The 20658-nt window shown below is 50.1% G+C and overlaps 1 protein-coding gene across 6 annotated transcripts in view; it reads right to left on the bottom strand.

The window, feature by feature from the left end:
- The window catches only part of KCNIP1 (potassium voltage-gated channel interacting protein 1), a 383146-nt gene that overhangs the window by 223810 nt on the left and 138678 nt on the right, over positions 1-20658 (bottom strand). For 4 of the 6 annotated variants that reach the window (NM_001278340.2, NM_001034837.3, NM_001278339.2 and 1 more), the window contains exon 1: positions 8190-8803. The exons of the other annotated variants lie outside the window; for them this stretch is intronic. Coding sequence is in view for 3 of the 4 variants with exons in the window: in NM_001034837.3 (NP_001030009.1) it covers positions 8190-8250 (61 nt within the window). In the remaining variant the exon portion in view is untranslated. Of the gene's footprint in view, positions 1-8189; positions 8804-20658 lie in introns of those variants that run through there. 6 annotated transcript variants of the gene reach the window in all.

The raw sequence follows: 20658 nt of genomic DNA, 5'->3' as shown, positions 1-20658 counted from the left end.
CAGCCTCGGCCTCCCAAAGTGCTGGGATTACAGGCGTGAGCCACCGCGCCTGGCCGGGACTCTGTATTTCTAACAAGCTCCCAACTGATGCTGAGGCTGTTGGTTGGAGGAGCACACTTTAAGTGGAGTAGACCCAGATAGTAACAATTTACCTTTAGCGCATTCTGAGTGCTGACCGCTGCATCTTACATGCATGACTGCATTTAATCCTCATAACAACCTGGGAGGGAATTATCAACAATACTTTCATTTTCTAGATTATGTAGAGATGAAAGTTCACAGAAGCGAGGTAACCTGCTCAATGTCACACAGCTAATGAGTTGCAGAGCCAGGATTTGAATTCTAGGTCTGCCTAACCAGGAGTGTATGCTCATAACAACCGTATAACATACGCAGGTGATTTGGGCCAACATGTGGCTAAGGAGAGAAAGGAGATGAGCAGTAAGGTACTTGCAAATGTACTAGCAAGTTCTTGTGTTTTTTTCTTAGCAGTGATAACCACTTGTAAACCGACTGATCTCCTTGCCCACCTGGACCGTGTGAAAACTCTGATCCTGGTCCCTGGTTCTGAACGTTTGCAATTCTAACATACTTGGAAGATATTTAAACACTCTATCTTCACTGACAGGCAATGATGGCTATAACAAAGAGAGAAAATTTTAGTTCACATAAATGATTAGAGCAGAGGAGAGATGTTTAATCCTATTAATGAATTTGCTAATTGGCCTTCTGCCCCCAATCATTTCATATTCAGGCTTCCACAGTGTCAGATGAAATGGAAACAGATCTAGGGGGAGGCGGGGTTGGGATGGGGCTAAAAGCATTTTGCTCAGGGCCTGCACGTAGCTCAGTTGTTCCGTGTGGCTAATGAGGTGCTTCAGTCTATCCTTGAATGCCTTCTCCCCAACATCCATGCACCCGTTTTGACTGTTTTTCTACTCAGGTCCCTAAGGTTCCAGAGGCAAAGCCAGGAGGAGAGGAGGTTAGTATGGCAGTTAGAAGCTCAGGGTCTGGGATCAACCAGAACCAGGCTCTGCGATTCCCAAGCTCTATGACCCTTAGTAAGGCACTTCCCTTTTTAGAGCCTCAGGTTCCTCAACTGCAAAATGAGAACTGTAATAGCATCTTGTCCTCCAGGGTTGGGGTTAATAAAATAACACAGGAAAGAGCCGAGCAAGGTGCCTGGCACTGGGTGGAGGCCAGAGTCATTTGAGCTAGTATTATTATCCTTCCTGGCGGGTGACCTGCATTTTCATACCTCACTGTTGGGAATTGCTTTTACCATCTAAAGTTGACAGCTTCCCTTAGGAATCACCAGAGAAACTGCTTAGAATGCCAGTGACCATGGATATGGTGGCTCGGGATCTCAGAGGGCTGGAATCAGAGGCCACAGCTCAAAGGGATGGGGAGATTACCAAGGGTAACACCGTCATCATCCAAGTGGAGCAAGGCAGAAGGAAGGGGCCTGTCCTGAGATGGGACAAAAGGCAGCAGCAAAGCCAGCACTGCCAACTCACCTGGTGTGCAGCACCATGTTCAATTCCTTCTTGGCCCTCACGTGGCCCTATAGGGAGACACTGTCATTGTCCCCATTTTTTAATTTTTATTTTTTTTGAGACGGAGTCTCGCTCTGTCATCCAGGCTGGAGTGCAATGGTGCAGTCTTGGCTCACTGCAACCTCCGTCTCCTCGGTTCAAGCGATTCTCCTGCCTCAGCCTCCTGAGTGACTGGGATTACAGGAGCATGCCACCATGCCCGGCTAATTTTTGTATTTTTAGTAGAGATGGGGTTTCACCATATTGGCCAGGCTGGTCTTGAACTCCTGACCTCGTGATCTGTCCACCTTGACCTTCCAAACTGCTGGGATTACAGATGTGAGCCACCATACCTGGCCCACTGTCCCCATTTTATAGAAGAGGAAACTGAGGCCTGGAAAGGCTCAGCTATGAACCAATGAAAGGGAGTTCAATCCCAAGACTCTTATTTTAACGCGGTGCTCATAGCCATAATGCAATCCTACTTCTAGCTTCCTGATTTGAGTGGAATGTGGTTCCTACTTCCCCCCACCGCACCAATGAGGCTTTTAGTCTGGCCTTGAATAACAAGATTTAATCCAAAGTACTACTCCCATGGCTGGGGTACGGGAAGCTAGCAATATCCCAACTGACTACCACTACTTCCAGAAGGTGACCTATTTAAAATACTACCCGGAGGAAGGGGAAGCATTTAAAGAGATGTTTCTCTGAAGGCCCTAGGACTCTTAGGCTCTCTCTCTCTTTTCTAAAAACTGTTCCTTCCCTGCCTGATGAATGGGAACATCAGCTCCACGGCCATTATGCAGAATTTTGCAGAGCTTCTCCCCAGGAGCAGACCTGGATTCCTCATCTGCACCGCCGCATTCTCACACCGCTCAGAGCCATCAAGAACGCACACTCTGGCCCATCCATCCTTACCTCCATGCCGCCAGCATCCATCAAGCCTGGATGCAGTGTCAGGCCTGACAGAGGCCCTGGGATAAGACTCAGTGCCTGAAAGCTAGTCAGAGAGATAAATGTGTAAACCCATAATGACAACCTCATAGTGTGTTCAGAATTGTAGTTAAGGGAAGCAGCAGCAGCTATGGGGAAAGAGAGAAGGCAGAGATGTGCTCTGCCTACAGAAGCCAGGAAAGGCTTCCCAGAGCGGTGGCATTGAATGAGGCCTTGAAAGATAAGTAGGAGTTGGCCAGGTGAATGAGGAGATGGAGGAAGAGGGAGGATGAGGAAGCCAGAGTGGATCTTAGGCAGGGAAGCAATGCTGAAGGACAATTGTGGGACTGGCTAAGTGAACAAATAAATGAGTGGATAAATATACAGATTCTGATCTCACCCAGGCAAGGGTGAACGAACCTGAAATATAAGGGAAGACAAGGGGAATCACTGTGAGTCAGTCCCTGCTTTTGTTTCAGCAAAAGAGTGAAAACTTAGAGACATCTCCTCACCTTCTCCAAAGACACTATACACCTACCAGTATCCAAAAAATTACCAGGACTCTTCTTGACTGAATTTATATTTTTCAACTTTGGGGAGATGACTATCAATGCTCTTTGTGAAAAGATAGGCTGTTAATTATAGCTGTTCTGGCACTTCATCATTCATTCATTTATGGACATATTCATTCATTCATGTGGTCATTTATTCGATCATTCTTTCTGTCATTCAGTTGATAATTCATTTGTTGCTTCATTCATTCACTCCTTTACTGCTTCCCCCATTCATTCAATCATTCATCTTTTCACTTATTTGTTAAAGCATATGCTCACTTATTCACTTACAGATTTACAAAGCATTCATGGAGCAAGGCCCTTCCAGGCAGACAAAGAGGTCTAAGCCTTGGCCCTTTTCCAGAGACCAAGTCAAAACAATCCCACTGATTTTAGGCAGTAAGTCCTTCTCCTCTGTCTTCCATTCTTTTCCATCTCTCTCTTTCTGTTTATCTTGAGCTCCATTGAGCTTCTTCTGGGATTGAGGGACCAGAACTGTGCCTGGTGCTGGGTGTGGGTTCCTCATACCTTTGTGATTATGAGGGAGTGGGAGTAGAATCACTGTTCTCAGCACTTTCCTGCTAAATGGTAAACAGATTCGGTACATTTCATGGACAAAGTCAATTCAAAGCCAGCAGACCGAACAACAGAATTCATTCCTGGCAGAGGGCTGGTAACTGAAATTCCGGTGGGAAGCTAACTTTTCCTGCAGGGTCTGCAATTCTAGCAAATAATGGAGAGTGGCCAACCATTCCATTATTTATAGTTTACTCTAGGAAAATTTTTATTAAGTACCTACTATGTGCACAGAACCAAGCAGAGAGTTGTGAAGGATGAGTTAGACGAGCTCCTACCCCCAAGAACCCTGACCTCTGGTGGTGGGGAAAGGGGGTTAACACCTCCGTTGATTGTCTAATTCCAAGCGCGATTGTGAGTCATAAGAAAATGTACACCTTAAAAGAATATGGGAATTCAGATGGGAGAAATCACTTCTCTCTGGGGCTTGGAGAAGGCTTCCTGAATATGGAAATTGCTGAGTGAGGTCTTGGAATGTCGGTGGAATTTTAACTATTAGACAAGGCAGCAAGGGGTGGGGTGGGAGAGCATTATAGAATTAAAGGGACAGGCAAAGATGCAAAGATGGGTAAAGACCAAAGCACAAACATTTCTATACATCAGGATTCTCCTTTTGCAGATAAAGAAACTAGCATTTACAAGGTGAAATGACTTGCCAAAGGCCTGCCCCTTGGGCTCAGGACTATGTGACAACACGGCTACTGCTTCTCTATGCCTGTCTGTCTCTTGTCACTCTCCCATATCTTTAGGTTGAAAATGCTGCCCTGACCAATAAACCCTAAACCCAGTCTCATCAGGTACACTCTGCTTCCATAAGTTCCCTGAGGTGCTCATTGATCTAGGAGCAAATATGGGACTATCGGGAACATTCCCATGTTTGGCCCTATATTAACCAGTACCCTATTAACTCACCGTGTGGCCTTAGAAAAAGCATCTGATAGCCATGGGGTTGAGTCATAGCTCACCTATGCTATGACTATTCTGGAGATCCGAAGCTCAGCCCTTTCAGAAAGTTCTGCATGCTTGCACTCGGTCATGGAGGATTTCTAACCCAGCCACCCCTGTAGTGTGGGATTATTTGCTTCTAGGCAATTCTCTGTTGAGATGGCCTTGGTCTAGTGATGTTGTCCCTAAATTCTCCTGCCCCGCTGACAAGCCCAGCAGCTGCACCTGTATGGTCCTCCTCTGGTTCTCCTCAATGCCCTAGCCTGTCTCACTTACCCATTCAAGGCCAGGAGCAGTGTCCTTGGTGTGTCATGCACATGCAAAACTGCTAGAGTCAGAAATTCTATCTGGGACTGGGATGCAGAGGCTGAATCCCAAAAGCAGGGCTCTCCTACTTTTAATTAAAGACACACAAAGATCCCAAACAGAGAGAAGGACAGGAAATGAACCTGAATATTTTTATTCAGTGGCATGGCTCTTAAATTACTTTAGATTTCTGTTGCCTTTAGAGAGCGCTCCCTGAACACCCAGGTTGGGCTGGATATCTTCTTGCAGCACTAATCATGCAGAGTTTTTGCCCTATTTAAAAACTATGTATGTTTCTAAATTGTATTATCAAGGCATTCAGGATTTTAATTGAGCAGGCTTTGATGTTTTCAGGACAAGCCACAGAGTAGAGGTCAGTGAGGGTTGAAGCAAGGGACGAGCATCTGTGTGCTGGGGTTTTTGGTCCTAGTTATCTGGATAGGGCTGGATAAGGTTTCCAGAAATGAGCTGTTAAGGCTCTCAGATGTACTGCCTACTTCGAAAATGGCCTTACTCTGGACATTTGGAAGCCCCAAACAATAGAGCCATAAATTGAATAGTACCTCAAATTTGCTGACCACTTATGTAGCAGAGACTGTGCTAAATGCTTGACTTGCATGATCCTTGAAATCCACACAACACAACAGCTATTTTAAGATGGTAACTACTACTATCTCTGTTTTATAGTTGAGGAAAACAAGGCTTAGTCATACAGCTAGTAAGTGGCAGAGCCTGAATTTGAACCCAGCAGGGAGACTGATTCCTGAGTTGAAAAATCCCAACTGCTCTCTTCCGGTTGCTTCTAATTAGATCTGAGCCTCACGTCTCTGAGATCATAGCAGCAGCTCTGGTGAGAGCATCAACCATAAAAATATTAGAATTTGAGAACCAAATGGAACCTGAGGAAATGCCTAATGTAAGTTTCTCCCTTTACAAAGAAGAAACCGAGGCCCCAGTGGGGAAAAGTGACCTGGCCAGGATAGGCTCCCTGACCACTAGCCTCCTCAGCCAGGGCTTCCTCCAGGTTTCCAAGCTGCCTCCCATAGAAGGGTCTTCTGCTGATTAGCATTCCACTATGCAAGGCAGTGAGATGACTGTGCTTCGGGGGCAAATACCTGGGGGAACATATGCAGCTGGACCCCTGGACAACTCACGCCAGTGGGCTTTGTGCAGGAAGGGCTGAGTGCCCAGTGCTTCGATAGCTTGTCTTGGGAGTCCACCCATTGGCCCCGAACCTGCTATGAGCCTCAAACGAACATTGTTGTGAGGGTTAAATGAGAGTTGTTGATAAAACACCGAGCATTATGGCAAGCACACAGTAGGGACACACTGAATGCCAGTACCCCCTCTTCTGTTTCTTAGAATCCGAGGAGACAGAAGCAAAGACCTTTGTACTCTGGGAATCCTGCAGGAATTCATCCAGGGTGAATTCCTGGATGTTTGGGGCAGGAGAAGGAAATGGTAGACAGCAATGTCTGAGCTCTTACTCTTTTCCCAGCCCTATGCACGGAGCTCCCTATTCATCATTCATTTGATTCTCACATCCTTACAACAACTTCCTCTGGGTCCCTGGTGGCTGCAGCCAACACAGTATATGAGGCAGAGTCTTCCCTTCCTCTACTTCCTACATACCCTTCCCTCCGGGAAGTAGCATACGAATTTCATGGATGAAAAACTGAGGCTTAGGGAGGTGCGGGGGACTTTCCTAAGGTCCCAGAGGCAGGGAGTGATGGAGCTGGGATTCACACCCAGACTCCACTTGACTCTAGGGCTTGAGATCTTTCTGTGACACCCAGCTCCCAGGAGAGCCACAGGCATTGAAAATATTTAAAAACAAGCCCCTGACTTTCCTGTCCCCACAGTCCCCTGGCCTCTGAGACCGCATGGTGGTCAGACAGATGATGAGGGAGAAGACCTATATTTGGCGCTGAAAATTGTCCCCAGTCAAGCAGCATCCCAGGATCTGTGAGAGGTGAGGCTTAGAATGTCAAGGCCTTGGGCTGAGCTTTGCAGACCTGTTCTGGTCAGGACTGGTAACAGGACAACCAGTCCCTTCCTTGCCAGCAGGACATGTAACTCAGCTGGACAAATGGGCCAAAGCCTCTTCCTATGTTCTAGGATGTAAATGCCAACCCAGCTTCAGCACCTAAGATCTGCACCCAGAGATCTCTTTCCTCGGGGCTCAGCCAGCCTGATGCCCCTGGGAGCTGGGCCAGAAGCTGGGACCCCTTCTTCCAGGGGGTTTCAAGGACAGCTTACTTATGGAGATCTCTGTGGTTCTAAACAGGGTGAGACCAACCAAGTTCTAAGAGGAGACTTATTGTTCACTTGGGGTCCCTTACCCCATTACACTTCTACTCACTATCAGGCCTGTAGGGTAGGAGCTTAACTCCCACCTGTATCCAGGATGGGGGCTCTGATGGTAGAATTTGAATGTTTAAGTGTCAAGCTGCTTAAAATCTTACCACTCGTAGTGACATTTGAACATTAAACAAAACAAAACCCATCATTTCCCGTTTCCTAACTGCTTCCAGTCTCTTTATTCCAACCACTAACTTTTGAACTGCTGGTAAGGAGACCTGCATTGTCCTCCAGGGCCCAACACACTGGTTCCAACTTCACCTGGACCCATTTGAGGACTCTCCCACGGATGGTGAGATCAGCCATGCCTCGGCTGGGGACAGGTGGTGAAGGAACAGCGTCCAGGCAGAAGAGACTCCACGATATTATGCTTTTTAATCCTTGATGTAAGCTCAGCTCGCAGCCAGCCCTTCACGGTTGCTCCTCCTGACTCCCGGAGCCACCAGGACATGAGGCCTGGGAGTTTTACCCCTGGCAGCAGCTGATTCCTTTTGGCTTGCAGAGGTTTTGGGGGTGCAGACAGAGCACTCTTCCTGATGAAGGGACTCGCAGGTCTGCACCTGGCATAGCCGCCTAGGAGGAGTGTGGGAGTGTGGCAGCACCCTCACTGAGTGCTCAAACGCCAGCTGTCATGGGAATGGGAAGAGCTTCACCACACTTCCACCAGAGAATCCGGTCACCCCCACCTGTGAACATGCCGCTTCCTTCGGCTCTCAGAGATTTCCCCAGGAGGAGAGTCCCGACACCTGGTGCCCCAGAGGGGTCCAGTTGCCGCTGGGGCAGACGTCCACTCCGGCTCCCTCCTCTGGGTGTTCACACCAGCCCTCCCGCCGATTTCTCTCTCCTTTGGATACAAGCACCTGTCCGGGCTCCTCGTGGAGAGGAGAGTCCGGACTAAGGGAGGCAGGTGGCACAGCCCACCTCGGCGCCTAGCACCCCCAAGCCCAGACAGGGGAACAAAAGGAAGAAGGTGGCTTACCTTTCGAGGGTCGCCTTTGTTTGGTTTGCAGAGATGAGAAGGTGCCCATGACGGCCCCCATGGCAGCGAAGACTTGAGTGCGAGTTGGGACCCCGGGCCCGGCCCCTCCCCTACCCTGGAAAGAAATCCCCGTGGTTTGTCTACTCTGAATTGGAGGAGAGAAAAGCGCCCGGCAGCTCGCCTGCAGCTTGGTATTCAGCAAGCGTGGAGGCGAGGCTAGGAGGCTTCTGGCTTCCTTCTTCAGCCCCGCACATGCAGGGACTCAGGGCTAGCCGCTCCCCGCGAGCCTTCGGAACCGCTTCCCCGCGCGAGGACCCGGCCCGGCGGTTCCCTCGCCCAGGGCCGAGGACGGTGCCCTGAAGCCTGCCTGGCACTGGACACGGGGCCAGAGCGGCCGCCCGGCCGAGGCTGCCGAGCCAGCGCCGCGTGCGGTGCGGGAGCCGCCGTCCGCCCGCCCCTCCTGCCGCACACTCGGCTCCCCTCCCTGCGCTCGGGCTGGGTCTCGGAGGGCCGAGTACCAATCATGAATGAACAGAGCCCGGACCGCGCGGCGCGGAGCCACAGCGCGCCCGCCTGCTGCCTGCTGCCTGCTGCCAGCGCTCGGGGCGAGAGTCGGAGCGGCGGAGGGGGCGGCGGAGGGGGCGGCGGGCGGGCAACTACGGAGGGGCGGGGCGGGGGCGAGGGCTGCACGGTGGGGGCGGGGGACGCCCAGCCCTGCGCCCTCACCCCTGCGCACCCTCATCTGCCGGGGTATGTGCGGGAGCCCCGGGAGCATGTAACCCTAAGAGACAGACCCGGGGCCAGGCACCTGGCTGATGGGTGAGGTTCAGGGGGCAGTAGATTGGCCCCAGGGAGACTGTGTGTGTGTATGTGTGTGTGTGTGTGTGTGTGTGTGTGTGTGTGTGTGTGATGTGCGTGCGTGCGTGTGTGTGTGTGTGTGTCCCTGTGTGTGGTGCATTGTGATTTCATTCGACTTCAAGGGAAATCTTATTTAACCCACTGCCTGAACTCATGGGGAGGGGGAAAGTCTGCCCCACCCAGAAAGGGGTGAAAAACACATCCAAATGGGTGGTCATGGGAAGAAGGTGCCGTCCTGCTCCGCGGGTCCTTGAGGGTTCTGCAGAATCCTCCTATGGCAGGGCCCACCTTCTAGTGACAGGGAGTTGGGGAGGAGAAAGGAGCCCTCAGCCCCTCTGGGCCCTTACACTCTCATTTTTCTTTTTCTTTTTTTTTTTTTTTTGAGACGGAGTCTCGCTCTGTTGCCCAGGCTGGAGTGCAGTGGTGCGATCTCTGCTCACTGCAACCTCTGCCTCCCAGATTCAAGCGATTCTCCTGCCTCAGCCTCCGGAGTAGCTGGGATTACAGGCGCCCACCACTAGGCCCAGCTAAATTTTTTTGTATTTTTTAATAGAGACGGGGTTTCGCCATGTTGGGCTGGCTGGGCTTGAACTCCTGACCTCAGGTGATCCACCCGCCTTGGCCTCCCAAAGTGCTGAGATTACAGGCGAGAGCCACCCCACCCGGCCTGCTCTCTCATTTTTCTGTTTCTTTCCTCCTTGGTTCTACCTCTTCTCCCTTTCCAGCTCAATAATTCATTAGCCATCAGCTCCTGGGCACGGGTTGTTAGTGCTTGAAGGGGCAATGATTAGATTTAGGAAGCCATTTCCCTTCTGTGAGTGGCGTCTCACCCAATGGGCAAAGTTTGCGTCCCTGCCTGTGGACTCAAAGCCTTGTGGTGTTGAATTGCAAGGTTTGCTCCCTGGAAGGTGGAGGAAGAGCTTCCCCTCCCCCAAGTCTGAGCTGCTTGGGTTCCCACTGAGACCCATTTTGATTGACACTGAGGATCCTTTGCCCAAGCTGCCCCCTACAATCCCACCCAGCCATTTTCTGTCTGCCACACAGATACACACCATGCTAGCAGTTCACAGAATACCCGGATGTATGGCCTCATAAACAAGCATGCATGCCCAGAAAGTCCCACAAACATATGGGCGCAGGTCCTTAAGTCCGCACAGACATTGCTATTGTACACACAGACAGACCCAAGGCTCATAATACACCTACAGTTGCCCCCCACGAAGGTGGAGAGACACACAAACACACAGGCATGCAGACGCACACACAGCAAAACAGCATGACAGTCACCACATTCACACAGGCTCAATGCCACATAGGCACAGAGTTGAATCCCCAGGATACAGGCCCCTTGAGAGCTGCTTCCCCTAATGCCAACCCATGAGCTGTCCCCTCAGGGCCACAGGTAGCCTGTGACTTGGCCAGGGTCCTTGAATAGTTTTCTTCACCTGTGCAGCATTTATTGCTTTTCTGCAATCCCAGCATGTGTCCTGTTTTGTGCAACAGGGGAGGGGCACTTACTAACATACTTCCTTTCCTTTGCATTGCCCACTGCTGTGCAACCACATTGTCCACGTGATGCCCACCAAACCCCTGTGAATTAAGCAGGTGCCTGATCATTACCCCAGAGAGAAATTGAGGCTTACCTTGTGTTAGAAATTTGCCTGAAGTTGCCCAGCCAGGATGTGGGATTAGAACTTGGGTTCCAGGCCTCTGTCGTGGTCTCCTGGGGAACCCCTGCTCACAGATGAGGGCACTGAGCCAGAAAGACCTGCTGGGGGTCCCACCAGATTCACAACCTCTGCTCTCCTAACTGCCAGCTCAGGGCTTGTCCAGGCCAGGGAGGCCTGGAATCCTGGAAGATGGAGCAGGGGCTGGTCCCTGCTTCCCTCCTGCCTTCTCTGTTCGAGAAGAGGGCATGCGAGGCTGAAGCTTGGGGTCACTAGAGGACCCAGTGGGATATCCAGGATTCAGGGAACAGAGGAGAGCTCTTTGCTGAGGAGAAAGTTAAGCCACCCTGGGTGTCTTTGCCAACTTGTCAGGGATACCACTGGGTGAGCACCAAGCTACTTCCCCCTTGGGGCTCTGCTAATTTTCATGGTACCTGAATGACCATAAGGACAGCACTTGAGAGGTCACAAAAGGCTAGAATGTCATCCTCTCATTTCTGCTTCCCCACAACCCACTGAAGAAGCAGAGTACAGATGACTTGCTCCATTTTGCAGATCAGAAATAGCAAAGTGCTTCTGGACGTGTTTGCAATTGGCTGCCTCTGAACAGTAGGTATAAAGTGAAGTCACCAAAATAAAATCCAAACCATTGAACATGAATTATGAGGTCTTTTTTGTGGCCTGTGGCTTCTTCTACAAATCCTCCCTGACCCCTGGTGTTCCCTTTGTGGCTCAGCCACCCAGACCCCTCACTATTTCTCAGATGCGTGTTGTGGTTCTCCTTCAGGGCCTTTGCACGTGCTGTTCCCCTTGCCTGGAATGTTCCTCACCTCTTTCTCCTTCTGGCCACCTGCTGCTTACCCTGGAATATCTACTGCAGATGTCATCTCCTCCAGGGATCCCTCCCTGGCCCTGAGTCGGTGCCCTGCTTGTGGTTTCCATAGCACCCAGGGCTTCTTATCAGAGCACTCCTTACTTTGTTTCTCATTGTTCCTTTCCTTGCCTGTCTCTCCCTCTGGACTGTTTTAACTGCTTTACATACTGATTTAACTCTCTACTTTCTGCTTAACCTCCGGTTTCTGACAGGGGTGCAGCCAACCTATGCTGAATAAATGAATGAGTGAGTCTCTTTTCTTTGCTCAGTGACCCAGTTAGTAAGCAGAAACTGATGATTACCAGATCATCCTTGCCCCTTAAAGGAAGACACATGCTCTGCCAAGTGAAGATTCATTCATTCACTTATTTATTCAACAAATATTCATTCATTCATGTATCTACCATGTACCAGATATTTACATGCACAATAGCTCATTTATTCCTGCGGACGCCTTGTGACATGGGTATTATTTGCAGATAAATACACACACATACGCACGTGCCCACTGTACAATGCAGCCAACATCACCCATGAGATGCTCACAAAGAATGTGTCTAAGTAGAAGAACACAGGTAAGTGTGAGGGGCAAGAGAGAAAGATGATGATAACAGGCCCTCTGCCTGCCTCCTGGGAACTTGCAACAGAGAGCAAAGAACTGCATGGGGAGAGAGGGAGTGACAAAATGAATGTGCAGAGGGAGTGCTGAAGAAGCCTCCCATCAGTCACCCTGACTGCAGGAGCCATTTGTCCTGTTGTCCCTCCCATGATGTACTCAATACAGCGACCTTGCCAGCCCCATCCAACCTGAGCTTCAGTGGCTGTTGCTCCCTTTACTCTGGAAGGTGAACTAGCTCATGCACTTTCTCCAGCTCTGACCCCTCCCTCATGCACCCCGGTGTGGACTGAATGTTTGTGTCCCTCCAAAATCCCTGTGTTGAAGCTCTAAGCCCCTGTATGGCTGTATTTGAAGAAGGGACCTCTAAGGAACTAATGAAGGTTAAAAGAGGTCATAAGGGTGGGGCCCTGATCTGATAGAGTTAGTGTCCTTACAAGGAGAGACTCCAAAGACCCCCCACGCACAAAGATACCATGTGAGCACACAGGGAAAAGGCAGTTGCAACACAAGGTGAGAGGCCTCACCAGACACCAACCCTGCTGGCACCTTGATCTTGGACTTCCAGTTTTCAGAACCATGAGAAAATAGATTTCTGTTGTATAAGCCACCCAGACTGGGGTATTTTTTGAAGGCATTCCAAGCAGACTGATGCGCAACCCCAGTGTCAATCCATGAGCTCAGAAAGTTCTGGACGCAAGGCCTTCCTTCTGCCATAAGCCTCTATATAGGACTCCTTAGGCAACCCCTCTAAGGTTGTTCAGGGAGGAAGGAGTGAGATTGTCAGACCTGCAGGAATCCTGTTAAAACATGCATGTGCTTGTCTGAGTTTATGTAACACACAAGCCCTGTTCTTTCCCTCCCTCCCCCTCTCCTTTCTTCCTCTTTGTATCTCTTTCTTTCTTAATTTATTTCTTCCTCCCTGCTGCCTCCTTCCTCCCTACTCAGTGCTCCCTTAGCCATGTTTCTTCTCATCCTTATGGACAACAGTAGTTCCTTCCAGGCACAGAGGTAGCATAGAGTCAGATTGAGAGCATTAATTTGGGAGGCTGCTAGAATTGGGTTCAAACACTGAGCTTGCCCCTTTACTCTGAGACTGTGGGCATGATGAGTACGATCTCTGAACCCTGCTTTCAGCTTCTTGTGGATTACTTTCATAATTCCTTTAGTAAGTGGTAGTGTTGCTGTGAGGGATTGGTGACATGATGTTTGTGGGGCCCTTAGCAGGTGCCTGGCACATAGAGTGGCCCATTATTGAAGGTGGACTGCCCTATTCCTGTTGCTGTGGGCCAGACATCATGCTGGGTTACAGGGGTATAAAAATGAGTAAGCCACAGCATTTCCCTCGGCTCCCATCTTTGCTCTTCATCTGTTTGATAGGAAATCTATTCTCAGGGTCCCCATCTGGTATTAAAAGACTCAGATTAGTTAAGGAAGGGAATGCAGTTGGCACCTGATTATGTGCAATTCAGCACTATGCTTGCTGCTGTCTTGTACCATTTCCCAAATGTTCTGCATGCATAAGTCTGGCCTCAAATAGACTGGGAGCTTTTAGAAAGCAAAGGCCGAGTTTCCTGCTTTGCATACCCCACCTCCACCGCCCCCATCCACCGCCACTCAGCCTGGCCCAGAACATCCTAAGTGTGCTACAAATACTCAAACTGAGATCCTTCAGGGCAGGGGAAAGGGTGTCATCATTTACCCCTGAGCTCATATGAACCCAGTCCCATGTCCCCTGGTATGTACACCTGGCCGTTAGCCTCCTCATCTGTGAAACATGAACCCAATCATGTCAGGGGATTGTTGTGAGAATGGGGTAAGATAAAGTAAAGGGAAAGCACTTGTCTCTCTGTAGAGCACTCTGCAAATGTCCTTTATTGTTATTTGCTTTGGGGCTCATTGGATCATTCATTCATTCATTTATTCAATGAATATTTATTAAGCACCATCTACCTGCCAGGCGCTATTCTAAATATATGGATCAATAATGAGCAAGAAGAGGCAAGAGTACCTGCTCTCAGGAAGCTGGAGGTCTAGGGCTGAAGAAAATCAAATCATCTCCTCATTGCAAATTGCATTCAGGCTAGGAAGGAAAGAGTGGTGCAGTAAGTTCAGGGTAGCAGGTGCTTGGAGAAGCCAGGTATCACCTTGTGTGAACAGTGAAGTGATGACATAGGACATATAGATCTTCAGAGGGCAGGGAAGTAGATATGAGTTTCAGGTCAAGCAGATCAGGCTTAAAGTCCCGGATTTGTTTTGTGACTTTGGGCAAGTTATTTGACCTTTGAGCCCCTCAATTTCCTCATGTTTGCAAGGAGAACAATCTCAGCAATGTCGTTGGAGGTCGCAGGGTGAGGCTGAAAGTGATCGTGATTACAAAAGTGCCTGACACAGGGTCTCCCTGGCTGGAACACAGTCCTGATTCAGAAAACACAAACTCCATGCCTCACTTTCCCCTTCCAGTTCCCTTTGCTTGGACCTTCTCCCCTACCTCCCCAGGAGGAAGAAAAGACCTTTGAATAGGACTTGGGTTTGGGAGGCAGCTCTCCCTGGCTGCATCCTTATGCATCAAGCATGGCCTCATCTGTCCCGGTTGATCATGTTCTGGAGGGAGCAGGACTGATGTAGACTGCAGCGGAAGCCGGGGAAGCCGGGGCACAGGCTCTGCCCTTCATGTCCTGATGGCTGCGCTGCCTGAGGATTCCCCCTGCACGCTTCTGCGCTGCCACAGTCTCCACCAGAGCTGAGATGAGTTCAGACAGAGTGCAGCCACCCACGCAGCTGGGACACTGGCGGTAAAGCCCTCCCAGTTACCCAGATCCTGCAAGGAGTGTGTGTGTGGTGAGGCGGGGGCAGGGGTAGTCAGGGAGAGGGGGAAGGATATTTCTGGAGACCAGGGAATTCATGGGTGCCAGCACTATGCTTGGCGCAAGGCAGATATTTCATGAATATTGATCAAATGGCTGTCTGGGGGTGGACAGAAGGGTGGATTGAAAGGGGACGGGTGGTTAGATGGATGGATTCAAATATGTTCTAACAAACTGTAAGTATCTGATAAAACCTGTGAACCTTTTCCCCCAGAGTTACCATGCTGCATGAACACATGCTCATGCTTGGTGTAGAATTTCAGACTCTCCCCAGTGAAACACAGCCTTGGACAGTTGGTGAAGAAACTTTGTCCTAAGGAGGAAAGGTTATGGTAAAGGATTTTATCCATTCATCCCTTAGCTGTGTGCCTTTAACTTCACTGATCCTCAGTTTCAACATCTATAAAATAGGTACAATAATTACGCCTATGTCTTAGGGTTGCTATGAGGATTAAATGAGTGGAAGCATTTAAGTGCTTTAGTGTGGTACCTGGGAGGTTGCAAGGCTCATGAAAAAGGCAGGTCATTAACATAATCACTAATCTTCATTCAATCATTCATTCACTCATTCATTCATTCACTCACAACTTTGTGAGGGCATCAAGTGAGTGCCTCCTGTTCATCACACCTGAGCAGGGCTCTGGGGCTCTCTGCAGAGGTTGATGCTCCCTGCATTAGGGAACTCACAGTCTCAGGGCACTTAGATAAACAAGTCACTATAACATCCCAGACTTCACCGAGATCCCTCTCTACCTCTGCTGCTGAGGGTCAAAGGCACCAAAGTCCTAGATACTCGGCAAGATCAGGGGTCTAGATCAGACTAGGAGGGTAAAGGTCATGGTGGAGAAATCAGGGTGGAGCTGGGTAGAAAGGGATGGGAGCTGGAAGGAGTGGAAGTGAGACTTGAGCAGAGCAGGGCTGAGGTGGGGTGAGAGTGGCCCTGGGCAACCGCATTTCCGGGCCACAGTGGTGAGGTTGAGGGTGGACGGGTGAGACTGAAATGACGGGGGCAGTGGAGACAGATGCTGTGGTTAGAATTCCTTGTCTTTCTAAAGTGTGTGCAAAACATGGATCCATAATCTCCTTGGGTAAATGTCCAGGAGTCAATGGTGTTTCCTCCCCTGCTTTAGTCTCCTGAGGTGATAGAATAATTGCATTAGCAGTGGTGACCTCTGTTTATGGAGTTCTTACTGTGTGCCATCACATGCCTGATCTCACTTAATCATTTCAATAGCCCCATAAGGAAAGACTCTCATTGTTTCCTGTTTTATAGATGAGGCAGCTAAGGCACAGAGAGGTTAAGCAACCTTCCTGAAGTCACAGTGAATAGATGGTGGAGCTGGCCTTGAACTCAGCTGGTCTGACTCCGGAGCTCACACTCTGCATGTAGCTCCAAGTCCTCCTGCTGCTCTTGCCACTGACTTCTAGCACTGTTTCTCTAGGGAGGCAGCAGTTCACTGGGGACTCAGAGATAGGAGAGATGGATGCACATGGGAGGGACAAGGGTCCCCAGCCCTTTGAGTGGTGGATGATGCTCCCACCCATCCTTTTAGTGCCTGGGGGCTGCAGCTGTGATTATCAGCCTGCCAGGGTGCACGCAGGGTCTTTCCCTCTTCGGCTCCTGCAGCCTGAAGACCCTGAGGAAGTGAGCAGGGAGGGGAGGAGGGAACAGTAACCCTGCCGCTGCCTGATGATTAGTAATCATGCCAGTGATGAGCCGATGAGCATGCCCCTGACCCTGCACGGCCCGCTGAACATGTCAGAGCTGGCTCCGGGCTCCCAGGATCTCCGCTCCCAGCATTGCTGCTGCTGCAATTGGAGCCTGAAAAAGGAAGAAACCCAGGAAGAGGGAAGGAGGAAGGAATGGGGGAGAAAAGAGTCTCAGCTGCCCTCGTGCTGAGGACTGACTCTGGGACAGGGCCTGCAAAAATGAGGCCACATACAACTGAGATATTAACCGGGGCTCCTTCTGTTATTTCCTGTGACCACACAACCTGCCGCACATTTGAGCTGCGGCATTCACTACCTGTGGCAGAGGTGGCACGGAAACAATGGTCACATCTTGGATTTTGAGATGAAAGGCCTGGAAGAATATGTGACTGGTTGGAGGGCAGGAGCAAGAGGGGTTTGCCCTTGTCCTCCACCTCAGGCAGAGTTCGAGGGTTGGTGGCCTGTTTGGCACTGAAACCCCAGACTTTGGCGGAATGTGGGAGCTGAGAGCAGACCCTGGCTTTTCCAAAGTGGAGCCTGGGAGAGTGAACACAGCCTAGGGTTCCCCTCTAAGGCCTGCCACCTCTGTGTGTAGCAGGAGCATTGCACAGCCACTGACTTGTGTGTCTTTTTCAGGCAGGGGTTCCTGACCTACCTCTCCTGGGCAAGTCCGGTAAGGAGAAGGGGAATCTTCCCCTGCACCCAACAGTGGTGCGGTCCAGGAAACCCTCCTAGAGCCTGGGAGGCCCCAGCTGCGACCTGAATGGCACAGTGACCACAGAATGCACAGGAAGCAGAACCTCTTGGGGTGCCTTTCTGTAGGAATGGTAGGGCTGCCCACCAGAGGTAGAGCCCACTTCAGGCTCCATGCTCCGTAAGCCCACCCCAAAACATTCAGGCAACACTGGGGATGGGGCATCCTGAACTGATTGAGGGTTCTCTGCCACTGAGAGGAATGGGAACTTGGAGTAGAAATTAAGTTCAGTGATTGAAGCAGTAAGCAAAGTAACTTTCTGGTACATCAGAGTGAGTTACCTGAAATTCTTAGCTATTCATAAAATGATCCTCACAATGCCACTGTGGCAGGTACTTCTCTTTTCTCCATTTTATAGACTAGCAAACTGAAGTTCAGAGGCATGGTGTAATTCGCCCAAGCCACAAAGCTTGAGTGATCTGTAGAGTCTGGGTTTGAACCCGATCTCTCTGCCTTCAAATTTAATGCTTTTATCCACTAAGGAAGGAAAGCAGATGGGAGCAGTGGAGGGAAGAGAAAGAACTGGGAGGAAACAGCAGTATTGGGAAGAAGAGGTGAGGGGACGGGGAGCCTGTCATCCTCCCTCCCAGGATGGAGTTGGTACTGGGTCAGAGAAGAGTGGCTGTGAAGAGCTTTGGTCTTGGTTTAGAGGACAACACAGGACGTACGCTGGTGGCCTGGCACATAGATGGCCAGGTGGAGGGAAAAGGATGAAGCAGCAGTTCCAAGAGCCGTGGCATTCGTGTAGCAATTATTACCTGGGCCCCCAAGAGCACCACCTTTCCTCCCAAGAGTGCCTGTGGGAACCTCTTCCTGAGAGGCCAGGCTGGCTCTCTTCTTCCCTCACTCTACATGGAAGATCCCTTTCCAGGCTGCCACAACACACTACCTTGACTAGAGCAGTCCTTCAAGCCGAGTTCTTTTTCTGTTGCTCCTTCTTGCATTGGGCTGGCCTGTATCAAGTGAAGGGGTTGGGCACTGTAGCTGGTGCTGGGGGGAGCTAATTGACAGTCCAGGGCACTCTTGCCCTAGGCTGGCATTTGCATGATCCATTAGTATTCGTGCCCACAGCTCAGGGCTGCTCTGGATGGAGGACACTATGCAGATGAGCATTGAGCAGGGTGTGCAATGAGAAATTGATGTGGTTTGCTGGGAATCAAGGCTACTGAGTGAGGAGACTGAGGAAGGCTGCAGACCTGAGACTGGGGCTTCTCACCTGGTTCCCACACTGCCAGTCCCTGGGGTATCTGCTGTCTGTGATGTATGGGCTCCCAGCCAGTCCCTCCAACAATTTAGCCAGCAGCCACCGGGCCCCTGCTCTGCCCCACCTGTCCTGCGATGGCACCAGGGAGGCAGTGAGAGATGAGGTGGGTATGGTTCTGGCCCTTAGAAAGCTCACAGTTCCGTGGAGAGAGAGTGGAGTATGCACTATTTGCAATCAACCAAGAGGTCACACCAGCTGAGAAGAGACATTTAATTAAACCTGGGGAAGGAAGAGTGGGGCATGGGGAGAGGGCCAGGCCAGGCTTCTCAAAAGAGGAGATGCTTGAGCAGGGTCCTGAAAGATGAATCAGAATTTGCCAGCCAAACACCACTCTTAACACATGACTTTGTTCAGTGTCCTCTTCCTTAACCAACTGCAGAGGAGTCACGGTCTACTTCACTCTCATAAGGGTGCCCTGGTGAGCTGACCAACAATGCTTCACTAACCCCATCTATGGGCTCACCAACCTGCAGCTGGAGGGACTTTGGAGAAAGCAGGTCCAGCCACCATGGTGACTTAACTCGATAATGCCTGTAATTCATGATTGAAATGAGCGACTGAGTCACCCAGAGCAATGGGATCTTCCTAAAGATCTCCAGGGATGGAACCTTCCTAGCTTCTATATGCAACCTATTCCAACTTCTACGCAGATCTAGGAAGTGCTTTCTAATATCTCATGAATTTCTGCTGAACTGAAAAGCATTGACTCTTACTACTCCAGGAAGAAGGGCATGGAATACCTCATCTGAGAACCCATTGTGCAAGCTGCCAGAGCCACACAAAGCCCTGAGTGTCCTCAGTTCAGCATCAGGGTGGGATGGGGGAGCTCGCATTTGGTGGGGGATACAGATACAGATAGTAAACAAAACTTTCTACCACAGAAACCAAGTGGGCGGGACTGGTGGAGGGCTAAGGGATTTGACCTGCACCTCAGGCTCTGATTCTGACTGTGCCCATCTGTGGTGTCATAGAAAGGGGCCGGGGGAGGTGGCTTACGCCTGTAATCCCAGCACTTTGGGAGGTCAAGGTGGTTGGATCATGAGGTCAGGGAATCAATACCATCCTGGCCAGCATGGTGAAACCCCGTCTCTACTAAAAATACAAAAATTAGCCAGGCATGGTGGTGGGCACCTGTAGTCCCAGCTACTTGGGAGGCTGAGGCAGGAGAATCACTTGAACCTGGGAGGCAGATGTTGTGCCACTGCACTCCAGCCTGGGTGACAGAGTGAGACTCCGTCTCAAAAAATAAATAAATAAATAAATAAATAGATAGATATTTGGTCTCTGTCTCCCATTCCTAGCACAAAGCCCCTAAAACCCTTGGAGTTTCCCGAGTGATGAGGGTATAGGAGCATCTTTTGTTCCAGTGAGGTGACTCTTGGTGAGCCTTTGATAGCTTCAGGATTGGGCTGGTCACCAAAAAGACCAAGCCTTGACTGGAAGCTTGAGACTTTCAGCCCCATCCCCAACTTCTGGAGAGAAGGAAGAGGCTGGAGATTGAGTCAGTCACCATTGGCCAATAATTTGATCAATCATGCTTATGTAATTGAACCTCCATAAAAACCCCTAAGCACCAAGATTTGGAGAGCTTCCCTGTTGGAGAACGCGTCCAAGTGCTGGGAGAAAGGCATGCCTGGAGAGGGCATAGAAACTCGATGCCTCATCCCCCAACCCCATATCTTGCCTGATTCAGTCATTTCATTTGGCTGTTTCTGAGTTGCATCCTTGAAAACAAACCAGTAAACATAAGTAAAGTGTGTTCCTGAGTTCTGTGAGCTTCTTTAGCAAATTATTAGACCTGAGGAAGGAGTCTTAGGAATCCTTGACTTATAGCTGGTTGGTCAGAAGTACAGGGGGTC

Source organism: Homo sapiens, chromosome 5 (genome assembly GCF_000001405.40).
Source record: "Homo sapiens chromosome 5, GRCh38.p14 Primary Assembly".
NCBI lineage: Eukaryota > Metazoa > Chordata > Mammalia > Primates > Hominidae > Homo > Homo sapiens.
The sequence above is the reverse complement of the archived record's forward strand: the minus strand, read 5'-3'. Positions and strand labels throughout refer to the sequence as shown.